We start from the raw sequence: 26081 nt of genomic DNA on the forward strand, positions 1-26081 counted from the left end.
CTGAAACTCTTTGTATGAGCCAAGTTCTTTACAAAATATGAGGCTGTTGTAACCTTCCTTGTCTTCTTTTTTACCAGAAAGTGATTCAATCCATTGTGTTTCTGAAGCAAGTTATAAGGCTCAAAATTACTCCTATTTATGGGTACCACATATAACGGTCATTATCATGCCTGTAAGTTCTGCCTAGGTATATGTAACAATTTACTCTGTGATGTGTTACAATATTCTCCTTGTAGGCAAAGTCCTGGCAGAAAAGTTGTATCACCTGGGGGTTACACCCATATATATGGCACAATGCCCCTTTTGGCACAGTCTCCAGACAGAAGAAGAGACTCATATCACCTATATGCTAGGCCCAGTGATATGTCAAAATGTCTCATGTTAAAGGGATCAGGCAAGAGAGTCATATCATTTGGATGGCATGCTTAGAAACACTATAATCCCCAGTGGAAGGAGGGTCCAGACAGGAGAGGAGAGTGAGATAACTAGATGGATGATGAGTCCAGTGCCTTCCTGAGGATACTGTTGAGACAGGAGAGTCAAATCGTCAAGGTGCTCAGCTGAGGAATATATCCAAATATCATTTGTGGGCAACATTTAGGCAGGATTATTAAGCCACTCAAGAGATGGGAAATGAAATATGTCACAATAACACTGGTGGAAAGCTCCAGGAATGGAAGTCTCCATCTTGGATATGACCTGGCTTCAGTTTTAAGCATCTTGATTGGTCCTCTCATTTGGTGTCAACTATATGGCACTATGTAATCTATAGGCAGAGAGAAAGCAGAAATGTCACATCACCTGTGAGGGTGCTCGTCCTGTGAGATGTCACTTTTTTTCTTGTGGCCAGGACCCTGGAATAAAAGGTACATCACCTGGATGTTGATTTTAGTGATATATCAAAATTTCTTCTGTGGGCAGGGCTTAAGGTGAGGAGAATCACTTTACCTAGACAATTGGCCTAGATATATGTCACAGTGGCTGCTATGTACAGAACCGAGGTATGAAAGTGACCTCACCTTGGTGCTGGGTTTATCAATATGTCACAATCTCCCCTGTGGTCAGAGCAAGGCAAGAAGGTAGAAACATCACCTAGGTGCTGAGCCAAGTGATATGTTACAAAGCTTTCTGTTTGTAGAACACAAAATTTAGTGTCATATTACCTGGGTGTAATATCCAGTTATGTGTCACAATTCACATAATTGCAGGCAAAGGCAGTAGAAGTAAGCCACATCACTTATGTGATAGACCTAGATATAAGCCACAGTGCTTTATATAGGCAGGAATCAGGCAAAGAATTCACATTACCTGGGTGCCTGTCCCAGTGATATGTAAAAGTGCCATTTGTAGGCAGGAACATGTACCTTTTCTTAGGTGTTTGGTCCATGTATATAACAATTTCATCTCAGGTTATGGCCTAAGAAGGACAGTCAAATTACTCAGGAGCTGGGCTAACTTTTATGCCCTAATCACACACCAGGAAATATTCAAAAGTAAGTTTCACAGTCCCACACAAGTCCTGGCTTTGTGTACATAAGTAAACACCTCCTGTGAGGTGGGTCAAAACAGAGGAGACACAATCCCAACAATGGGCATAATCCATGTAAAAGATGGCAAAACCAGTTGATGACTGTCAAGTGGAGATGAGTGTCAAGTGGAGATGAGTGTCAAGTGGGAGAGTCACAGCCTCATATGTGCACTGAATTATGCATCCCCAAATCACCTGTAGGTCAGATCAACATATGAGAGGAAAAATTTCATACTTTGACTGCTCTTTTGGTGAGATTTAGTACCTTATTTGGAGGCCATGTTCTTGTGAGGCAATGACAATTGTGTCTGATGAGTGTGAATCCAATAATCCCAATAGCATTGGGTTGCTGTTCACTGTTATAACACTATGTATACCTCTCACACTTTATATGATATGCTGGAGTGTCATAATACTGTGTGAACTTTATACCATTAGGAGACTCATTACTTTACTTATGGCTATAAGACTGGGTAGGAGCATCAAAATATCTCTCCTTTTTGGAGCCAGGTATGATAGTTATATTTGTGCATGGTAGGTGAACACAGGTGTATGTCAAACTTTTACCTGTGGGCAGAAACATGGCAGGAGAGTCTCATCACCTGGAAGGTGAGCTCAGGATACATTATAATCTCCTTTGCAGGCAGGGCCAAGTCAGAAGAGTCACATCACCTGATTACAGCCTCAAGTAATGTGACACCATGTCAAATGTGAACAGGGTTAAAGAAATGGAGGAGAGTCACACAACCTAGATGCTGGGCTCAGCAACATGGAATAATCCCCATTTTGGCAGAATCTAGAATAAAGAGGAGAATTGCATTACCTAGGTTTTGCATTCAGCATCATGTCACAATTCTTTTAGCCGGCAGGACCTAGGCCGCAGAGAAGAGTCACAATTCCTAGATGTTACACCCAGTGATGTCACAATGTTCTTTGGGGAAAAAGCACAAGCAAAATAGACAAATCACCTAGCAGATAGGCTCAGATATATATAATGTCCCTACCTTGCAGGACTAAGGCAAAAGAGTCACATTATTATGACTGTGACCTAACGATATGTCACAATGCACACATGGCAAACAATTAAGTCAGTTTTTACACCTGGGTACTAGGCCCAGTGATATGACAGAATCTCCTCATCTTTTAGATGACACCTTTAACTGTCAGCTTTGCGTGTATATAAGTCACATTGTCACATGTGTGCTGAACCATTACATGACACCCTTTAGAACATCTGAAAGTTTTTTACAACATGCATGAGATTTGCTAACTACTCTGAGGTCTACATGGTCATATCAACTCTGAATCTTGTATATTGCCTTAAACCCAGACATGATAGTCAACATCTCTCATTTATGCTTAGTTCAGGAATGAGACTTATTTTTATGCCTGTGAGATGGGTCTAAAAATGAGTCACTATTGAGCCTGTGGCAAAATCCCCAAATGAGAATCACAATTCCATCTTTGTACTGTTTTCACTTGTTAGAGTCAGCATCTCAAAAATGGGCTTTGTAAATGAGGGATGGTGACAACTTTTATTTGCACCTGCCTGTGTAATTGAGAGTCACAATCTTAAACATTTTGCTGGGCCTTGTGAGGAGAGTCTGTGTACCACCCAAGGAGTTTATACAATATTGATTATTGTTGTATACTTCTGTGAGCTTTGTACAAATATGCAACCCAGGATTTTACCTATTGCCTTAAGCCTTGTGATGAGAGATAAAATATCTTCTATTGGCTGAATCAAATGTAAGTTTTACCATCATACCTGTGAACTGAAGCAAGCTATATTTCATAATCCCATTTCTCGGCAAAAAAGAGTCACATCATGTAGGTGATGTGGCATGTGATGTGGCATGCAGCATGTCACAGTGACTTCTCTAGGCAGAATATAGAAAGGAGGGTCACATTAACGAGGTGTTGGATCCAACAATATGATGAAATTTTACTTGTAAAACAACGTATCCAAGGGAAGAAAGCCACAACACTTACAGAATGGACTGAAAATGTGTCAAAATACTCTTTATGGCTCTGGCACTGAGAGGACAGTAGCATCATTAGGGTGCTGGACCCACCATTATGCAGTAACTCCCTCATTATTCAGGACTCTTGTAGAAGAGTAACATCATCTGACTGCAATAGGTCAAAATTTCCACTTGTGCAAATGGTTTAGAAAAAAGAAAATAGTCACATACCCTAAATCCTGGTCTCAAAAATATGTCACACTCTCAGCATTTTAAAGGCTGAGGCAGGGGAGGAAAGTCATATCACTTAGTTCATCAGCTCAGAGATATGTTCCAATGTCCCAGTAGGCAGAACTCAGGCAGAAGAGGCTTCTTTAGGTATAGTCTCAATCCAACACGTGAGCAGAAACCAGGCAGAAGAGCCACATCATCTGGGAGCTGGGTCCTAAGATATGTCACAAGTCCCCATTAGGACAGAACCAAGGCAAAAGAGTTACATCACCTTGGTGTATGTTTCTCTTTTATGTCACAATGCTCTATGTGCATGAGGCCAAAGCATTCAATCCCATTGACTAGTTGATAGGCCCAAGAGATAGGTTACAAAGTCCTCTGTGAAGCATAGTCCTGGCAAAAGAGTATCATCACCTGTGTGTCTTGCCTAGAAATATGTTACTCTCCAGGTTGTCATCACCCAAGCAGGAGAGCCACCTAACCTAAGTGATAGGCATAGAGATGTGTCACAATGTCCTAGTTTGGGCATGACTCTGGCAAACAATACCCACAGCTGTACGCCTGGCTTTACAATATGTCACTATCCTTCCTTTGTGCAGGATCCGTTCCAGAGATGAGACTTACATCACCTATGAGGTGCACACAAATATATGTCACAATAATTGTGATTGGCATGGCATAAGCAAGAATGCAACATCAATAGTATGCTAGATCCAGTGATATGTACAATACTTACTGAGAGAAGGGCCCAGGCAGGAGAGTCACATCTCCTTAAGGTTAGCCTAGGTAGATATCACAGTCCCATATATGCACTGGAACAAGTCTGGAGAGTCAAATTACACTGGTGTTTGCAAAGATTTATATCAGAACCACACTATCAGAAAATTCCAAAGATGAGTTTACAGTACAACACATGTCCTGTTTTCATGTGTGACAATTGACTTCATCCATGAGAGATGATGGCAGTCCTTACTGTCAGTTGGGTGTGCATACAAGACTCACAATTTCACTTGAGTTGAACCCTGGTTTGACTTTTTCATTATAAACCAAAGACTTTGTAAAATATGTGTGAGTGTTGTAATCTTCTGTGACATTTGTACAAGAAAGTGATTCAGGACATCCCACATGTCTGTAATCTGAGTTACAAGAGTCAAAATATCATCTATTGGCTGAGTCCATATATTAATAAGAGTCATTATTATTCCTGTGAGCCATTCCTAGTTATTTGTTACAATTTCCTCTGTGGTTATGAATCAGGCCAAACAATCACATCACCTAAATGCTGGGCCAGAAATATCCCATTATTATTTTTTCAGGCAGGGTGCTGTCTGAAATATCACATAACTTGTGTGCTAAATCCAGCTCTGTTGCACAGTGTTCATTTTGGGATGTGTCTAGGAAGGAGAGGAGAGTCATATAACCTAAAATCTGGGTTCAAACATACATCAAAATGGCTCCTGTTGAGGAGGTCCAAAACAGAGAGTCATGTCCTTTGAATGTGGTGATTAGAAATGCTACAATTACTAAAGGAAGCAGGGTACAGGTCAAAGAGGAGAGTTATATGCCTTTGATAATGGGTCCAGAAATATGTGACTATTCTGCCTGAGGACAGTTTTAGACAGCACAGTCAAATCACCAAGGTGCTTGATGCAGATATTTGTCAAAATCTCATTCATGGGCTATATCTAGGCAGAATTATTAAGTCACTCAGGAACTGAACTAAAATATATGTCACAATTACACTTGTGGAAAGGTTTAGGAATAAGACTCAACTGTTGGCTTTCTAAATGTAGGATGGCGGCAACTTTTAATTTCACCTGGGCATGTAATCAAGAGTCCCAATTTGAACTTTTTGCTGGCCCCTGCTATGAAAATTTCTACAACAAAAGAGTTTATAAAATATAAGTTAGTTGTGTAAGCTTCTGTGAGCTTGCTACAAATATGCAACCTAGGACCTTTCCTATTCCCCAAGCCTAAGAATGAAAAGCAAAAGATTTTCTATTGGCTGAATCCCAATATGAGTTTCATCATCATGGCTGTGAACTGAAGCAGAGTATATGTTATAATCAAATATGTGGGCAGAACACTATGCAGAAGGGCAATAGCACTTAGATGTTGTGTTAGGCAATATGTCACAATACCTTCTCTATGCAGGGTGTACAAAATTGAATCACATTAACTGGGTGCCGGACCCAGAAATTTCATATGTGGAAAAAACCCAGCCAAGTTATGAGAGTCAAAATGCCTACATAATGGGCCCAATATATGTCAAAATACATTCAGTATTAGCAGCACACGCAGAAACATCACATCTTAATGTTGCTGGGCCCAGCTATATGCAATATGCCGTAATTATCTCTTTATGCAGATCCCATGCAGAAGAGTAACATGATCTGTGTGCTGAGCAACGTTATATGTCAGATTTCTTTTTTGTGGGCATGGTTCAGGAGAAAGTGGAGAGTCACATATCCTGAGTGCTGGGCTCAGCAAAGTGACAAAATCCTCCTATTGTGAAGGCCCAGGAAGAAAAAGAGAGTCGCATTACTTAGGTTCAGAGATACATCTCAATGCCCCCAGTAGGCAGAGCTCAGGTAGATGAGGACAGTAATATCACCTATGTTTTTCCCACAGAATATGTCACAGTTTAACATGTAGACAGAAACCAGGTAGAAGCACTATATCACTTGTGTGCTGTGTCCTGTGATATGTCATAAGTCTCTCTTAACACAACACCTAGGCAAGAGAGATACATCATACTAGGTGCCGGTCACTTGGTTATAACACAATCCTTCATCTGGTTAGGACCCAAGGAGAGAGTTACTACATTTAGGTGATAGGCCCAGAGATATGTCACAGTGTACTGTATGAAGCATAATGCTGGAAAGAGTACCATCACCTGTGTGCCTGGCCTAGAAATATGTCACTTTCAAGGTTGGAAGGACCCTAGCAGAAGAGCCACATAACATAGATGATAGCCCCGGAGATATGCCACATTGCCCTCCACTGGTCATCCACAGGATAAGGAGGAAATTTGCCTGTGTGTCAGTCCTTGCAATATGTCACTATTCTTCTGTTGTGCAGTGTCCATTGCAGAGAGGAGACTCACATCACCTATGAGGTAAACACAGAAATATGTTACAATAATTTTGGTGGTCATGGCCCAAGTAAGGATGTAACATTACCTGGGTGCTATATCCAGTGATATGTCACAATCATTACTGAGAGATAGGACAAGTAAGACAGGAAAGTCATATCACGTAGAGGTTGGCCTAGGTAGATATCATAACCCCATATATAAGAAGGGACAGGTCCAGAGAACCAAATTACACAGGTGCTTAGCAAAAATTTACGTCATCATAACACTGTCAGAAAATTCCAAAGATGAGATTTACAATACCACACATGTCCTGTTTTCATATGTGACAGATCCCTCTGTCTATGTGAGATAAGTTGTCCTTACTTTCAGCTGGGTGTACATACAAGACTCACAATTTCACCTATGTGCTGAGTCCTGCTTTGATTTTGTCTGTATAAACCAAAGAGTTTGTAAAATATGTATGAGTGTTGTAATAATTTTTGACCTTTGTACAAGAAAGAGACAAAGGACACCATGCATGTCCCTAAACTGAGTTCTAAGATTCAAAATATTCTCTATTGACTGAGTCCACATATGACAGTCATTATCATGGCTGTGAACCATGCATAGGTATATGTTACAATTCCCTCTGCGGTTAAGAAGGAGGCCTAACAGCCACATCACATAAATGCTGGGTCAGAATACTCAAATATGCTTTTTGTAGTCAGGGCTGTCTCAGAAATATCACATAACGTGCATGCTATGTCAAGCTCTGTGACACCATACCCCTTGTGGGCAGTGTCCAGGCAGGAGAAGAGAGTAATATCACCTAAAGGATGGGCCCAAAATTATGTCAAAATGCTTCCTATTGACAAGGCCCAGGCAAGAGGGTCATATCATTTGGATGCAGTATTTATAAATACTACAATCACCAACAGAAGCAGGGTACAGTCAGGAGAGGAGAGTCATGTAACCTAGATGAAGCATCCAGAAATATGTTACAATATCCCCTGAGGACATTTTAAGATACATCAGTCAAATCACAAAGGTGCTCAGCCAATCTATCTGTCAAAATCTCATTTGCTATACCTAGGCAGAATTATTAAATCACTCAGGAGTTAGGCAAATGTATATGTCACAATTAGACTTGTGGAAAGACTTAAGACTAAGAGTCACCATCCTGCACAAGTCCTAGGCTCCAGTCTTGTGAGTTGTTATTAGGCTTTTGTTTAGGTCTCTGGTATGTGGCCAGAAAAAACACAAGAAAGTCCCATCGCCTACGTGGGTCCAGGTCCAGTGAGATGTCACAAATTCAACAAGGGGGCAGGAACCTGTTGTAATAGTTACATTGCATGGATTTCAGTGACATATCAAAATTCCCTATCTGGGCAGGACTTTGGCAAGAAGGGAGACTCACTTCACCAAGGCAATTGGCCTAGATATATGTCACAATGTCTATTCTGTGCAGTAACAAAGCTGTAGAGAGGCATCACACAGGTGTTGTGCTCAGGAAATATGTCACAATCTCCTTGTGGCCTGGGCCAAGGCAAAAGCAAAGAAACATCACTTAGGTTCTGAGCCAAGTGATATGTCACAATGCTTCCTGTTGGCAGAACCCAAAAAGAAGAATCACATCCCCTGAATGCAGTACCCGGTTATTTGTCACAATTCCCTGCAACTGCAGGGCAAAGGAAGAAGTGAGTAACATCACTTACATGATGGATCTACGTATGTCACAAAATTCTTTTTGTAGGAAGGTTTCAGGCAGATAACTCACATCACCTGGGTGATGGTCCCAGTGACATATGTAAAATTTCCCTTTGAAGGCAGAGCCACGATGGATGTTATCTATTGCTTAGCTGCTTGTTCCACATATGGCACAATTACTTCTGTGATCTGGGCCTAGAAAAGGAGTCAAATTATTCATTTACTGGGCAAAGTCACCTGTCCCAATCACACTCTCATATATGTTCGGAAATAAGTTTCATATCCCACATAAGTCCTGGTTTTGTGTATGTGAGTTAATTCTTTCTATAAGTTGGGTCAAAATAGAGGATTCAAAATCTCAACAGTGGGCAAGATCCATGTATAAGAGCTGTAATCCCACTTGAACATTGTGGTCCAGGAGGGGAGTTACAGCACCACAGACATGCTGAATCCTGGTTCAAATGTTAATGAACCACCTGCGGATCAGGTCCATATGTGTGAGTAATTATTTCAAACATCAACAGCTTTTTATGTGTGAGATTTAGTATTTCATTCCTAGGCCCTGTTAATGTGTGACAATGAAAATCATGTCAGCTAGGTGGGCATTCAAGAGTCACATTCTCACCTGGTTGGTGGCCTCTGTTATGACACTGTTTGCACCATTAAGGCTTTATATGATCTACCTGAGTATTATAATCCTTCATGACTTTTATACAAGTGAAAAACACAGGGCTAAACCCATCGCTATGAGAGTCAAAATATCTCTACTGGCTGGCTCCAGTTATGAGAGTTATTTTTGTGCATGTGCTCTTAACCTAGTTATATGTCACAATTTCACCTGTAAGAACAGACAAGGCAAAAGAGTCAACTCACCTCGATGCTGAACCAGTGATACAGCATAACCTCATTTGCATACTGGGTCTAGTCAGAGGAGTCACTTCACCTAGGTATAGCCTCAAATAGTTTGTCAGCAAGCCTACTATACACAGGGAAGAAATAAATGAGGACAGTCACTCCACCTAGGTGCTGGACTTTGCAATATATAACAAACCTCTCTCAGAAGAGTTTAGAATGTGGAGGAGAGCCATATAATGTCAGTTTTTCAATCAGTGGTATATCACAATTTATTTTCTGAGCAAGACCCAGGCAGGAGAGGAGAGTTGCATTACCTAGATGTTAAGTGAAATGATATCTCAAAATGTCTTCTGGGGGATGGACACTGACAGAAAAGAAAAATCAGAAAAGAAAAATCATCTTGCTTATAGACCCCAAGATGTGTGATAATATCCCCTCTTGGCAGGATCAAGACAGAACAGTCACAGTATGATTCTAACATAGTGATATGTCACAATGCACCCAAAGAAATGAATTTAGGCCAAATAGTCTCAACACCTAAGTACTAGACCTATTCATACACCAATTCCCCTTGTCTTTGAGGGTGACCCTATAAACTCTGAGCTAGTGTACATATGGGAGTAACAATCTTGCATGTTTCCTGGGCCATTGTATGAAACTCTACAATATTCAAAAGCATTATACATCATGCATGAGAGTTTCAAACCACTCTAAGGCCTACATGTTCATATGTACTCATGATCTTGCATATTGCCCTAAACCCAGGTATAACAGTCATCATCTCTTCTCTAGGCTGGGTTAGAAGTGAGACCCATTTTTATGCCTGTGAGCTGGATCTAGAAATAAGTCACAATTCCACCTGTGGATAGATCCATATACGAAGGTCATACTTCCAACTTTGTACTACATTCATTTGTAAAACTCAGGTTCTTAACAGTGACCTTTGGACATAAAGAATGATGACAACACTTGCTTTTACCTGGGTATGTAATCAAGAGTCTCAAACTGAAATTTTTTTTGGTCCCTGTCACCAAAATCTCTATACCATCAAAGGAGTTCATACATTATGAGTTAGAATTGTAAAGCTCTGTGAGCTTGGCACAATTATGCAAACTAGTACTTTGTCTATTGCCCTAGGCCTAGTGATGAAAGGTAAAATATCTCATATTGGCTGAATCACAATATAATCCCAATATAAGTTTGACCATCATGACTGTGAACTGAAGCCATAGTCGCATTTGTGTGGAAAAAAAAAAAACAAAAACTGGGCCAGAGGGTAACAACACTTAGGTGCTATGCCAAGCAACATGTCACAATATCCCCTCTAGGTAAGGTATAGGACTTAGAATCACAGTAACTGGGTTCTGGACTCAGCAATATGACACAATCCATTATGTTGGAAAAAAAAAAAAAACAGCAAAAAGTTGAGAGCCAAAACACCTATATAATTGGCCCCTGCTCTGTGAAAATACCTTCTGTGGCTCCAGCACAGTCATGAGTTTTACATTATCAGGGTGCTGGGCCCAGCAGTATGTCATAATATTCTCTACATACATAACGCATGTAAAAAGAGTAACATTATCTGGGTGCTGGGCCCTGCAAGAGGTCAAAATTTCTGTTTGTGGGCATGATTTGAGAAAAAAAAAAGGTAAATCAGATAACCTGATTATTAGGCTGAGCAGTCTTTCACAATCCCTCCACTGTAAAGACCAGGCAGAAAAAAAGAGTCACTTTCCTTAGTTCATGGACTCAGATATATGTCCCAGTATCCCAAGTGGAGAGGGCCCAGGCAGAAAGGGAGTGTCATATCACTTAAATGCTTCACTAGTTATATGTGAAAATCTTAACTGTGGGCAGAAACCAGTCAGAAGACCCACATCATCTGGGTACAACCAGAAGTAATATCTCATGATCTCCACTATAGATAGGATTTTTTTAAAAAAAATAATGACACCATCACGTGGGTGCTGTGCTCACCAATATGTAATAATTCCCTCTCTTGACAGACTCAAGTACAAAAAGGTGATTTATGTCACATAGGTTTTGCACTCAAGGGTATATCACAGTTTTTTCAGTGAGGAGGATCCAGGCAAGAGAAATGAGTCACGTTACCTAGATTCTAAATCTAGTAATATGTTGCAGTTTCTCTTCTCAGCAGTGTAATGTCAGGAGAGACATATTACATAGTCAATAGGCCCAGAGATATGTGAAAATATCCTCTGTTTACAGGGCCCTGGCAGAAGAGTCACATTATCTTGATTCTGACCTAGAAATTTAAACTAAAAGTTCTCAACACCAGGTACTTGGGCAAGGAATGTGACAAAATATTCTCATCTTTAAGGGTGATACCATTAAATATTAGCTATTTGTGTATAACAGACTCATAATCTCATGTGTATGCTGGCCATTGTATGACAGTCTCTACGATATCTGAGAATGTTATACAATATGCATGAGAGTTGCAATCCTCTCTGAGGACTATAGGCATTTACAGACTTATGATTATACATATTGCCCTAAACCCAGCTATGACAGTCAGCATCTCTCCTATAGGCTGGAGATAGGGATGAGATCATTATTATGACTGTGAGCCAGCTCCAAAAATGAGTCACCATCCCAGCTGTGGCCACATTCCTTCATGAAAGTCACAATTCCAACTTTGTGTTGTATTCACTTGATGGACTCAGGATCTCAATAATGGGCTTTGCAAATGTAGGATGGTAAAAACTTATTTTCACCTGAGTGTGTAGTCAAGAATCATAACCTTAACTGTTTGCTGGGCACTGTTAAGAAACTCTGCACCAACAAGGAAGTTTTTATTACATGAGTTAGTGTTGTAAACTACTGTGAGTTTTCTAGAAACTTGCAAAGAATAACCTGACCTTTTGACCTAAACATAGTAGTGAGAGGAAAAATATCTCCTATTGGCCAAATCCTGACACAAGCTTGATCATCTTACCTTTGGACTTGTTAACATCACTTAGGTTCTTTGTCAAGCAATATGTCATGATGCTCTCTGTAAGCAGTGCCTAGGAAAGAGGATGACATTAACTGGGGGCTGGAGCCACCAATATAATACAACCACACATGGAAGAAATTCAGCCAAGTGATAAGAGCCCAAATACCTACAAAATGGGCCAAAGATATGTTAAAATACCGTCTGTGGTCCTGGTACAAGCAAGAAAGTCACATAATTAGGGTTCTAGGCCAAGCAATATGCCACAATTCCCTCTTTATGCACAACCTAGGCAGACGAGCAACATCATCTGGGTACTGGGCCCTGAAATAAGGCAAAAGTTCTGTTCGTGGGCATTGTTCAGTTACAAGATGACAGTCACATTACCTAAGTGCTGAGCTCATCAATATGTCACAATCTTACCATTGTAAAGGGCCAGACAAAAATAGAGTCACGTCACTTAGGTCATGGGCTCACAAATATGGCCCAATGTCACCAGTAGGCAGGTCTCAGACAGAAAAAGTCATATTACTTAGGTGCTTCATTAGCTATATTTCACAATTTAATATGTGGGTGGAAACCAGGTTGAAAAGCCACATCACCCTGTCCTTGTGGACCATTTTGGAGTGTGTCCAGGCAGTAGAGGAGAGTCATATCAACTAAATCGTGGTCCCAGAGAGATATCACAATGCCTCCTCTTTAAAAATCCCAGACTCATGTCATTTAAATGCAGTGCTTAGAAATGCTACACTCCTCACTGGAAACAAGGTTAATGCAGGAGAGGAGAGTCACATAACATAGACATTGGGTCCAGAGATATGTTATGATCACTTCTGAGAACCTGTTAAGACATGAGACTAAAACCACAAATGTTCTTGGCACAGGTATAGGTCCAAATGTCATCTGTGTGCTATGACAAGGAATATGTCACAATAACACCTGTGAAAAGGGGCAGGGATGAGAATTATGATGCTGCACATGTCCTGGCTCTGGGGACAAGTGTAATCATTAGGCTTTTGATCTGGTCTCAGGTAAATGGAACAATATCACCTGTGAACAGGGAGAAAAAAGGAAAGTTCCATCACCTTAGTGGATGATAGTCCAGTGAAATATCTCAAATGTCCTTGTGGCTAGGACCCTTGTAGAAGAGTTACATCACCTGGATTCTGGTTTCAGTGATATATAAAATCCCGTTGTGAGCAGAACTTAGGCAGGAGTGAAGACAAACTTCTCTATGCAATTGGCCTGAATATATGTCACAATGGCTGCTATGTGTAGGACCAACATAAGGGAGTAACCTCACTTTGCTGCTGGGTTCAGCAATACGTCACAATTTCACTGGTGGTCAGGGCACAGGCAAGAGAAAAGAAGCATCACCTAGGTGCTGAGCAAAGTAATATTTTACAAAGCTTACTATTGACAGAAACTTCATCCCCCAAAAAAGAGTCACATCACCTGGGTGCATTACCCAGTTATGTGTCACAATCAACCAGAAGTGCAGGGCTAAGACAGTGTAGAAGGAAGTCATATCATTTAAGTAATTGACTTAAATAAAAGCCACAGTGCTCTTTGTAGGCAGGCTTCAGGCCAAGATTTCACATCAGCCAAGTGCTGGTCTTAGTGATATGCAAAAATGCCCTATGCTGCATTGCCAAAAAAAGATGTTGCTTATTGCTTCAGTGCTAGGTGCAGGTAAGTCACAATTTCAACTGTGCTCTGGGCATAGAAAGGAGAATCAAGACACTCAGATGCTGTGCAAAGTCATACTTCTCAATTACACTGTCAAAAATGTTCAGAAATAAGTTTCAATGTCCCACAAAAGTCCTGGCTTCAGGTATGAGAGTCAACACCTCCTGTAAGTTGGGTTGAAGTACAGGAGAGTGAAACCACAAAGGTTCCTGGCAAAAGTGTAAGTCTAAATGTCATCTGTGCACTAAAACAAGGCAGGATTATTAAATCATATGGGAGCTGGGTAAATGTGTAAGTCACAATAACATCTGTGAAAAGGGGCAGGGATGAGAATCATCATCCTGCAGATGTCCTGGCTCTGGGAATAAGTGTCCTCAGGTATCACAATCTCAAAAATAGGAATGACCTATATATAATAGTCTAAATCCCACTCATAAATTATGTTCCAGTAGGAAAGTCAAAGTACCACAGGTTTGCTAAATCATAGCTCAAACATCACCAAACCACCTGTGGATCAGATTCATGTATGACAGTAACAATTTCAAGCTTTGAGGCTTATGTGTGTGAGATTTACTACTTTATTTGTAGGCTTTCTTCAGGTGTGAAAATGAAAATTGTGTCACCTGGGTGTGCATCCAAGAGTCACACAATAATACCTGGTTGCAGGTACCTGCTATGAAACTCTTTGTAACACTCAGGCTTTATATGATATGCCTGAGTAGCATAATTTTCTGTGATTTCTTATAGGTTGGAGATCTAGGACTTTACCCATGGCCTTAAGACTGCCTATGAGAGTCAAATATCTCCCCCTGGCTAGGTCTAGTTATCAGAGTTACTACTGTGCATATGAACTGAATCCAGGTATGTGTCACAATTTCACCTTTGGACTGAGACAAGACAGAAGAGTTACATTATCTGGGTACTGAGCAAGGGATACATTATAATTTCCTTTTTAGCCAGCACCCAGTCAGAACAGTCATATCACCTGGGTACTCTCTCCAATAGTATCATCATGACCACTAAACACTTGGTTGAAAAATAGAGGATTGTCACACTCCTCGGTGCTGAGCTCAGCAATATGTTATTTTTTCCTCATTGGCAGAGTCCAAGACAAAGAGGAGAGTCACATCACCTAGATTTTGCACTCAGTGATACGTCACAATTTCTTCAGTGGCCAGAATACAGGCATGAGTGATTAGTCATATTACCTAGATACTATATCTAGTGCTCTGTCACAGTGTTCTCTGTGGCAGGGCACTGGCATGAGAGACACATCACCTAGCTCATAGGCCCAGAGATAGGTGATAATATCCCCTGTTGGCTGTGTTTCAACATTATTAGGATTCTGACCCAGTGATAATTCACAATGTACCTATGGGCAAGAGTTTAAGCCAAAAGTCTCAACCCCTGATTACTAGGCCTAGTGATATGACACAATCTCCTCATCTTTTACTGTGACACCTTGAACTTTCAGCTAAGCTTGAATATTAGAGTCACAATCTCACTTGTATGCTGGGTCAATGTATGACACTCTCTAAATCTGTGGGCATTATAAAACCTGGTGAGAGTTACAACTTCTCAGCGACCTTCATGCTCATTTGGACTCACAATTTTACATATTGCACTAAGCCCAGGTTTGTTGGTCAACCTGTCTTTTATATGTAGGGTTAAAGTAGAAGACTATTATTATCCCACCTCTGGACAGATCCACATATAAATGCACCATTCCAATTTTGTTTTGTATTCCCTTGTTAGACTCAGGACCTCAACAGTGGGCATTGTACATATAGGATGGTGACAACTTTTAATTTCACCTGGATGTGTAATAAATAGTCCAAATCTGAACATTTTGCTGGGTCCTGTTGTAAAATTTTGTACCACTAATGAGTTTATACAATATAAGTTAGTGTTGTATCCTTTGAGCTTGGTACAAATATGCAGCCCAGGACTTACTTATTGCCCTAAACCTAACAATGAGATTCAAAATATCTTCTATTGGCTGAACTGCAGTGTAAATGTGAACATCATACCTATGAGCTGAATCAAGGTACATGTCATAGCCCCATTTGTGAAAAATAAAAAACAGGAAGGCAGCACCATTTAGGTGTTGTGCCAAGCAATATGTTTCAGTGCCTTCTCTAGGCAGGGTATAGAAAACTGGGTCACATAAACTGGGTGCTAGACCAAGAAATATGACACCATTTCACATGTGAAAAAAACCCAAAAATGTTATGAGAGCCAAAACACCTACATATTGGACCCAAGGTATGTCAAAATACCTTCAGTGGCTCCAGTACAGACAGGAGAGTCACATCATAATAGTGCTGGGCATAGCAATAGGCAATATGCCATAATTTCCTGTTTTTATAGAAATCAGGCAGAACAGTAACATCAACTGGGTGTTGGGCCCTGAAACAGGTCAAAATTCCTTTTTTGGGTGGCATGGTTTAGGAAAAAAAGGAGAGTCACCTATCCTGAGTGCTGGGTTAAGCAATGTGTCAAAATCATCCTATTGTGAGGTCCAGGCAGAAAAAAGAGAGTCGCATCACTTAGGCCACGGGGTAAGAGATATGTCCCAGGGTCCCCAGCAGGGAGAACTCAGGCAGACAAGCAGAATTATATCAAATAGATGCTTTTGTAGGAATATGTCACAGTGTAACATGTGCACAGAAACTAGGCAGAAGAGCCACATCACTGGGGGCTGGGTCCTGACATATGCCACAAGACTATCTTAGGACAGCACCCAGGTAAGATTGTTACATCACCTAGGTCTCTGCTTATGCCTCAATTCCCCATGTCTGTATGGCCCAATTCAGGAGTCACTTTACTGAGGTAATAGGCACAAAGATATGTCATAATGACCTCTACAAAGCATAGCTCTGTCAAAGAGTAACATCACCTGTGGGTCTGTCCTAGAAATATGTCACTCTCTAGGTTGGCAATGCCCAAGTAGAAAAGCCACATAACATAGATGATAGGTCCAGAGATATGTCACAATGCCCTTTTTTGGGAATACCTCTGGAAAAGCAGTACCCTCACCTGTGTGCCTGGCCTTGCAATAAGTAACTCTCCTTCCTTTGTGCAGGGCCCATTCCATAGTGGAGATTTACTTCATCTATGGGTAGACACAGAAATATGTCACAATAATTATGATGGGCATGGCACAGACAAAAAGTAACATCACATGCATATTAGATTAAGTGACATTTCACAATCCTTACTGAGAGAAGGGCCCAGGCAGGAGAGTCACATCACCTCGAGGTTGGCCAAGATAGGTATCACTGTTCCATACATGAGCTGGAACAAGTATGGAGTATCAAATTGCACAGGTGCTTGGCAAAGATCTATATCACAATCACACCGTCAGAAAATCCCACAGATGAGATTTACAATATGACACATGTCCTATTTTAATGTGTGACAATTGGTTTCATCCGTGTGAGATTTTGACAGTCTTTACTGTCAGATATGTGTACTTCAAAGACATAATTTCTTCTGTGTGCTGAGCCCTGCTTTGTTTCTGTCTGTATAACCCAAAGACTTTGTATATGTGTGAGTTTTGTAATCTTTTGTGACCTTTGCAGAAGCTGATACAAGATATCACAAACGTTCCTAAACTTATTTATAAGAGTCAAAATATCTTCTATTGGCTGAGTCCACATATGAGAGTCACTATTATTACTGTGAACTGTGCCAAGGTTTATGTTACAATTTCTTCTGTGGTTATGAAGCATTCAGAACAGCCACATCACTTAAGTTCTTTGCCAGAAATATTCCAATATACTCTTTGTAGGCAGGATCCTGTCAGAAATGCTATGTAACTTGTGTGTTAGATCCAGCTTTATGACACAATGTCCTTTGTTGGTAATGTCCGGGGGGCAGAGAAAAGAGAAAAGCCATATCAGCTAAATCATGGGCCGCAAAGTATGTCACTCTGCCTTCTCTTGACAGGGCCCAGGCAAGAGAGTCATATCATTTGCATGCAGTGTTTAGAAATGCTACAATTACCAAGAAAAGCCATATACAGGCAGGAGAGAACAGTCATGTAATGTAGATCATGGACCAGAAATATGTTACAGTCACTCCTGTGGATATTGTTAAGATAACACAGTCAAATGACAAAGGTGCTTAGCCCAAGGATTTGTCAAAATGTCATTTGAGGACTATACCTACACAGAATTATTACATCACTAAGGAGCTGGGCAAAGGTATATATAAGTTACACTTGTAGATAGGTTTAAGAATAACAGTCACCATCCTGCACATATCCTGGCTCCAGATATATGAATTGTTATTAGGCTTTTATTATGTTCTCTGGTGTATGGCACAATATCACCTGCAACCAGAGAGAAGAAAATAAAGTCTCATCAGCTACGTGGGTGTAGATCCAGTGAGATGTCACAATCCACCTTGTGGACAAGACCCTGGCAGAAGTGTCAAATTACCCGGATGCTGGTTTCAGTGATATATCAAAACTCCTTCTCTAGGCAGGATTCTCACAAAAGAGGAGACTCATTTCACATGGGCAATTGGCCTAACTATGTGTCACAATGTTTCTTATGTGCATTATCAAGGCTGGAGAGTGACCTCAGAGGGGGGCTGGACCCAGAAATACGTCACAACCTCTCTGTGGCCAAGGCCCAGGAAAAAGCAAAGAAACATGAGCTACATGCTGAGCTAAGTGATATGTTACAATGTTCCTGTTAGTAGAAGTCAAAAAGGAGAATGACATCGCCTAGGGGCAGTATTCAGTTATGTGTCAAAATCCACTGTAAGTACAGGGCCAAGGCAGTAGAAGGGAGTCACGTCAATTCATGGGGGATGTAGATATAAAACACAATTCTTCTTGTAGGCAGATTTCAGGCAGATAATTCACATTACCTGGGTGATGGTCCCAGTGATATATGAAAGTGCCCTTTGAAGGCAAGGCCAAAGAAGGTATTATATATTCCTTGGGTTTTTGTTCAACATATGGCACTATTTCACCTGTTGTCTGGGCCTAGAAAAGAGAGTCAGATTATTCATGTGCTAGACATGGTTACCTGTCCCAATCACACTCTCAGATATGTTTGGAAATAAGTTTCACATGCCACACAACACCTGGTTTCCTGTAGGTAAGTCAACTCTTTCTATGAGGTAGATCTTAATAGAGGAGTCATAATCTCAACAACGGTCAAGATTCATGTATAGGAGCCCCAATCCCCCTTGAAGACTGTGTTCCAGTAAGGAAGACACAACACCACAGGTGTGCTGAATCATGGTTCAAATGTTACCAAATCATCTGTGAATCAGATCTATGTATGAGAATAATTATTTAAACATTTGACTGCTTATTTGTGCGATATTAGTACCTTATTCCTATGCCCTGTTCATGTGTGAGAATGACAATCATGTCAGCTAGGTGTGCATTCAAACTTCCCATTCTCATTTCATTGCTGGCCTCTGTTATAACATTATTTGTACAATTAAGGCTTTATATGATATAGCCGAGTGTTATAATCCTTTGTAAATTTTATACAATTAAAAAAACCAGGACTTTACCCATGGTCATAAGACTGGCTATGAGAGTCAATTATCTCTACTGGCTGGGTCCAGGTATGAGAGTTATTATTCTGCATGTGTGCTTAACACATATATATATCACAACTTGACCAGTCAGCAGTTATAAGAAAGGAAAGTCACATCACCGAAGTGTTGTGTCAATTATACAGTACAGTCTTATTTGTAGACTGGGCCTAGTCAGAAATGTCACATCCGATCACCTTGGTGCTGAGCCAGTGATACAGTATAATCTCCTTTGCATATGGCAACTAGTCAGAATGGTCACATCGCCTTGGGACAGCATCAAAGAGTATGTCACCAAGTGCACTATTGACAGGAGGAAAGAAAAAGAGGAGCATCACTCTACCTAAGTGCTGGGCTCTGCAAACTGTAATAATCCACTCTCTTGGCAGAGTCTAGAATATGAAGCAAAGCCACATCACATAGGTTTTGCAATCAGTGGTATGTCAAAACTTCTTTGGTGAGCCAGATCCAGACAGGAGAGGAGAGTTACAAGACCTAGATGTTAAGTTAAACAATATTTCCCAATGTCCTCTGGGGGCAGAGAACATGCAGGAGAGACCAATTCCCCAGTTTATAGGCCCAGATTAATGTGATAATATCTCCTGTTAGCAGAGTCCAGACAGAAGAGTCACATTATAATAATATGAACCCAGTGATATATCACAATGCACCCATGGGAAGAAATTTATGCCAAATTATCTCAACAGCTGGGTACTAGGCTTAGTAATATACCAAATTTCCTTGACTTTGAGGGTGAAACCATTAACTGTGAGCTGGGTGCGTATATAAGAGTAACAATTTCATTTGTTTCCTGGGCCATTGATTAACACTTTATTGCATTAGAGTTGCAAATCATTCTGAGGCCTACATGCTTATATGGATTCATGATCTTACATAATGCCCTAAACCCAAGGTATAGCAGTCAACATCTCTTCTGTAGTCTGGTTTCAGGGATGACACACTTTATTATGCCTGTGAGCTGGATCAAGAAAAGAGTCACCAGCCCACCTATGGCCAGATCCACATATGAAGGTCACAATTCCAATTTTGTAGTGTATTCACTTGTTAGACTCAAGACCTTAACAGTGAGCTTTGGATAATTGGAATAGTCTCAACATTTGCTTTTACTTGAGTGTGTAATCCAGAGTCCCAATATGAATTTTTGCTATTCCCTGTCATGAAACTCTCTGTACCCCACAAGGAGTTTATACATTCCCAGTTAGTTTTATAAAGATCTTTTAGTTTGGTGCAAATATGCAACCCACAACCTCATCTATTAATCTTGTCCTAGTGTTACAAAGCAAAATATCTCCTATTGGCTGAATCCCAGTATAATTTGGACCATCTTGCCTGTGAACTGAAGTAAGGTATATGTCATTATCTCATTTGTGTGTCAAAAACTAAGCAGGGTTGCACCATCACTTAGGTGCTGTGCCAAGCATCATGTCACAATGCTGTCTCTAGGCAAAGTATAGGAATTAAAATCATATTAACTGGGTAATAGACCCAGCAATATGACACTACACCATATGTGGAAAAAGAACAGAAAAGAAATCAGAGCCAAAACACCTACAGAATAAGCTCAGGATATGTCAAAATACCTTCTGTAGCTGCAGGAAAGCGTGATAGTCACATGTTAGTGTGCTGGGAACAGCAACATGCCATAATCCTCACTGTATGCACAATCCAGGCTAAAAAGTAATATTATATGCATGCTGGGCCCTGCAATAGGTCAAAATTTCTGTTTGTTTGCATGGTTCAACAGAAAAAGGAGTCAATTTGAGTGCCAGGCTGAGCAATATGTCACAATTCCCTCATTGTAAACACCAGGCTGAAGAACAGAGTCAATTCACTTAAGTCTTGGGCTTGGAGACAGGTACCACTGCCCTAGTAGTCAAGGCAGAGTCAGAAAAGGAAAGTCATGTTACCTAGGTGCTTTCCTAGTTATATGTCACAATCTAACAAGTGGGCAGAAATCAGGCAGAAGAGTCACATCACCTGGGTAGAGCCTCAAGTAATATGTCACAATGCCCAATGTAGACAGGTTTGATGAAAAAAAAATCACAACACATAGGTGCTGAACTCAGGAACATGTAGTAATTCCATGTCTTGGCAGAGTCCAGGGAAAAGAAGAGAGTCATGTCACTTAGGCTTTGCACTCAATTGTATGTCACAATTTCTTTGGTAGACAGGTTCCAGGCAGAAGAGGAGACTCACATTACCTAGATGCTATATCTAGTGATATATCACAATGCACTGGCAGGAGAGACATATCACCTGGCCAATAGGCCCAGAGGTGTACAAAAATACCCCATTTTCAAGGCCCAGGCAGAAGAGTCCCATTATCATGATTCTGACCCAGTGATATATAACAATGTCCTTATGGAAAGGAATTTAAACCAAAATGTCCCAACACTGGGGTACGAAGCCAAGTAATATGACACAATCTCCTCATCTTTAAGGGTGACACAATTAATGGTTAGCTAGTTGTTTATATGGAGTCACAATGTCACGTATGTTGTAGCCATTGTAAAACATTCTCTGCAACATCTGTTAACAATATACAACATGCGTGAGAGTTGAAACATCTCTGAGGCCTACATGCTTATATGAACTCATGATCTTTCATATTGCCTTAAGCCAACATATGACACTCAACATCTCTCCAACAGGCTTGCTTCAGAGATGAGATCATTTATAAACCTGTGACCTGGGGCCAGAAGTGAGTCACCATCTTACCTGTGACAATATTAACTTTTGAAAGTCACAATTCCAACTTGTGTATGCACTTGTTCTGTATGCACTTGTTAGACTCAGGATCTTAACAATGGGATTTGTAATGTGAGAAGGTAACATCTTTTACTTTCACTTGAATGTGTAGTGGAGATTCAGAATCTTAACATTTTGCTGGCATCTGTTGTAAATAACTTTTAGTATAGAATTAATAACGGAAGTTTTGAGTAAACACAATTGTGGATAATTAACATGGTTAAGAGCGTAGTTCTAAAAATGATTAAGGTCAGGTACTATGGTCTAAAGTAAATACTATTAAGGGGAAATTTTCTTGGTCAAGCTCCCCACTGAGAGGGCCAATTAGTTCAAATAGAGGTAGAATAAACAGACTTAACTGGGGAAGCCTATATTGTCCCTAATTTTACCCTGGGGTAAAATTTAAGCCTGCTCAATTATTACAAGCTATGTAACTTTTCAGCCTTCAAAAAAGGTTTGTGACTGTTCCTTATAACGTCCCCTAATATTTCCTTTTAATATTTCTACCAGAAACCAGAGTGAATCTCAACATACCGGCTGTGTCTAGGTATGAGAGTTATTATTGTGCAGAAGTGGTTAACCCAAACATTTTTCACAGTTCCACCTATGAGCAGGAAGAAGCCAGGATACTCACATCATCTGGATGCTTAGCCAGTGATACAGTATAATCACATATGTAGGCTGAGCATAGTATGAAGAGTCACATCACCTGGATACAGACTGAAATAGTATCAAGCCTGCTATTGACAGAAAAAGAGACAAGTCACTCAACCTAGGAGCTGGGCTCTGCAAAATGTAATAATCCCCTCTCTTGACAAAGTCTAGAACATGGATGAGAGTCACAATACCTAGGTTTTGCAATCAGCTGTATGTTACAGTTTACTTGGTGAGCAGAAGACAGACAGGAGAGGTGAGTAACATGACCTAGATGTTAAGCCAAATGATATTTTACAATGTCTTCTGGGGGCAGGCACTGGAGAGAAAAATCACCAAGTTTATAGGCCCAGAGATATGTGATACTATTATCTATTGGAAGGGTCCTAGCAGAAGAGTCACATTTTTATGATTCTAACCCAGCAATATGTCAAAATGTACCCATGGGAAATTTAAACCAAAATGTATCAACACCTGGGTACTACGCCTAGTAAGATGCCAAATCTCCTTGTCTTTTAGGGTGACACCATTAACCATGAGCTGGCTGTGAATATGAGAGTCACAATCTCACATGTTTCCTGGGGCACTGTATAACCCTTTACATCATTAGAAGGCTTTATAGAGCATGAATGAGAGTTGCAAACCTACATGCTGCTATGGACTCATGGTATTACATACTTTCCTAAACTGAAGTATGACAGTCAACATCTGTCTTGTATGCTGGCTTCAGGGATGAGTCCATTATTATGCCTGTGAGCTGGGTCCAGAAATGAGTCACCAACCCACTTGTGGCCAGATTCCCTTATGAAAGTTACAATTCCAATTTTTTACTGTATTCACTTGTTAGACTCAGGACCTCAACAATGGGCCTTGTAAATATAAGATGGTCACAACTTTTACTTTCACCACAATGTGTAGTTGAGAGTCACAATCTTAACATTTTGATGGGCTCCATTAGGAAACATTCTGTACCACACAAGAAGTATTTATGATATGAGTTAGTGCTGTAAAATTGTGTGAGCTTTGTAAAATATCAAATTAAAGAATTTATCTATTGATCTAAACCTAGTGATAAGAGAAAAAAAAATCTCTCCTACTGGCCGAATATAAGCTTGATCATCATGCCTTTGAACTGAAGGAAGGTATATGTCATAATTCAATTTTTAGGACAAAACCTAGCCAGAAGGTTAACATCACTTAGGTGCTATGCAAAACAATAAGTCACAATACCCTTTTCAGTCAGGGTCTACTAAAGAAGGTCACATTAACTGGGGGATGGAGCTTAGTAATGTGATACAATCACACGTGGAAGAAAGCAAGCAAAGTAATGAGAGCCAAAATACCTACAGACTGGGCCAAAGATATGTCAATATAATTTCTGTGGCTCTGTCACAGACAGGAGAGTCACATCATTAGAGTGCTGGGCCAAACAGTATGCCATAATTCCCTCTTTATGCATGACCTAGGCAGAAGAGTAACATCATCTGGGTGCTGAGCCCTAAAATATGGCAAAAGGCCTGTTCATGGGCATTGTTTGGCAGCAAGTCAAAAGTAACATTATCTAAGTGCTGGGCTCAATATCTCACAATACGTCAATTGTTTATATGTATTTAATACACCTAGACAATTTAATAGGTGGGCAGAATCCAGGCTGAAGAGCCAAATCACCTGGTCCTGGGACCTGAGATATTCACAAGCCCTCCTTAGAAAAGGACCCAGTCAAGAGATTTACATCACCTAGGTGCAGGTCCCACACTTATTTTACAATGCTCCATGTGGGCAGGGCCAAGCAGGAAGTCACATCACCTAGGTGAAAGGCATAGAAATATGTCACAAAGCTTTCCTTAAAGCATGTCCCTGACAAAAGAGTACCATCACCTTTGTGTCTGGCCTAGCGATATGTCACTTTTCAAGTGGGCAGTTCCCAAGCAGAAGAGACATATCATCTCTATGATAGGTTCTGTGGTATTTCAAAATGTCCTCTTTTGGACATTTTGAAATATGCCAAAATAGTATCATAACCTCTGTGCCAGGCTTAAGAATATGTCATTATCCTGCCCTGCTTGCAGGGCCCATTCCAGAGAGCAGAGTAATGTCTTTTAAGTGATGGACACAGTGATATGTAACAATGATGTCTGTCTCATGGGGCAGGCAAGAATGTAACATCACCTTGTTACTGCATCCAGTAATGTCACAATACTTACTGAGAGCAGGGCCCAGGCAGAAGAGTAACCTCACTTCAAGGCTGACCCAGGTAAATATCAAAATCCCATATGTATGCTTGAACCAGTCTGAAGAGACAAATCACACCGGTAATTGGCAAAGATTATATCACAGTCTTGATGGAATAAAATTCTAGGGATTAGATTTAAAATACCACACATGTCCTGTTTTCATGTAGGACAGTTGCATTCATCCATCTGTGATGGTGAAAGTCCATACTGTCAGTTGGGTTTGCATACGAGACTCACAATTTATTCAGTGTGCTAGGCCCTTTATGACACTCTCTATACAACAGAAGGGTGTTATAAAATATGTGTGAGTTAGTAAACTTCTGTGACCTTTATAGCAGGAGATTCCACATCACTCATGTCCCTAAACCTAGTTATAAGAGGCAAAATTTCTTCTATTGCCTGGTCCCACATATAAGAGTCATTATGATGCCTATTAGCTGTGCCTAGGTGTATGTCACCATGCCTTCTTTGGTTATAAAACAGACAGAACAAACATATCACCTAAATTCTAAGCAAGAAGTATTCCAACCTTCTCTTTGTTAGCAGGGCACTAACAGAAAATTTACAAAACTTTGGTGCTAGTCCAAGTTGTATGGCATAATGCCTCTTCTGGAGAGTGTCCAGGCAGTTGAGGAGAGTCACATCACCTAAATGATGGGCCCAGAGATATGTCACAAAACCTCCTGTTGAAATGGCCCAGGAAAGAGAGTCACGCTATTTGGAGGCAGTGTTTAAAAATGCTATACTCTTCACTGGAAGGAGGTTCAGGCAAATGAGGAACATCACATTACCTAGATGATGGGCCCATAGATATGTTATAATTTTTTCTGAGGACACTGTTATGACAGGAGAG

The 26081-nt window shown here is 40.5% G+C and overlaps 1 pseudogene; it reads right to left on the bottom strand.

Moving 5' to 3' along the window:
* Window positions 1775-24685, bottom strand: BPY2DP (basic charge Y-linked 2D, pseudogene; annotated as a pseudogene).

This window comes from Homo sapiens, chromosome Y (assembly GCF_000001405.40).
Source record: "Homo sapiens chromosome Y, GRCh38.p14 Primary Assembly".
Classification (NCBI taxonomy): Eukaryota; Metazoa; Chordata; class Mammalia; order Primates; family Hominidae; genus Homo; species Homo sapiens.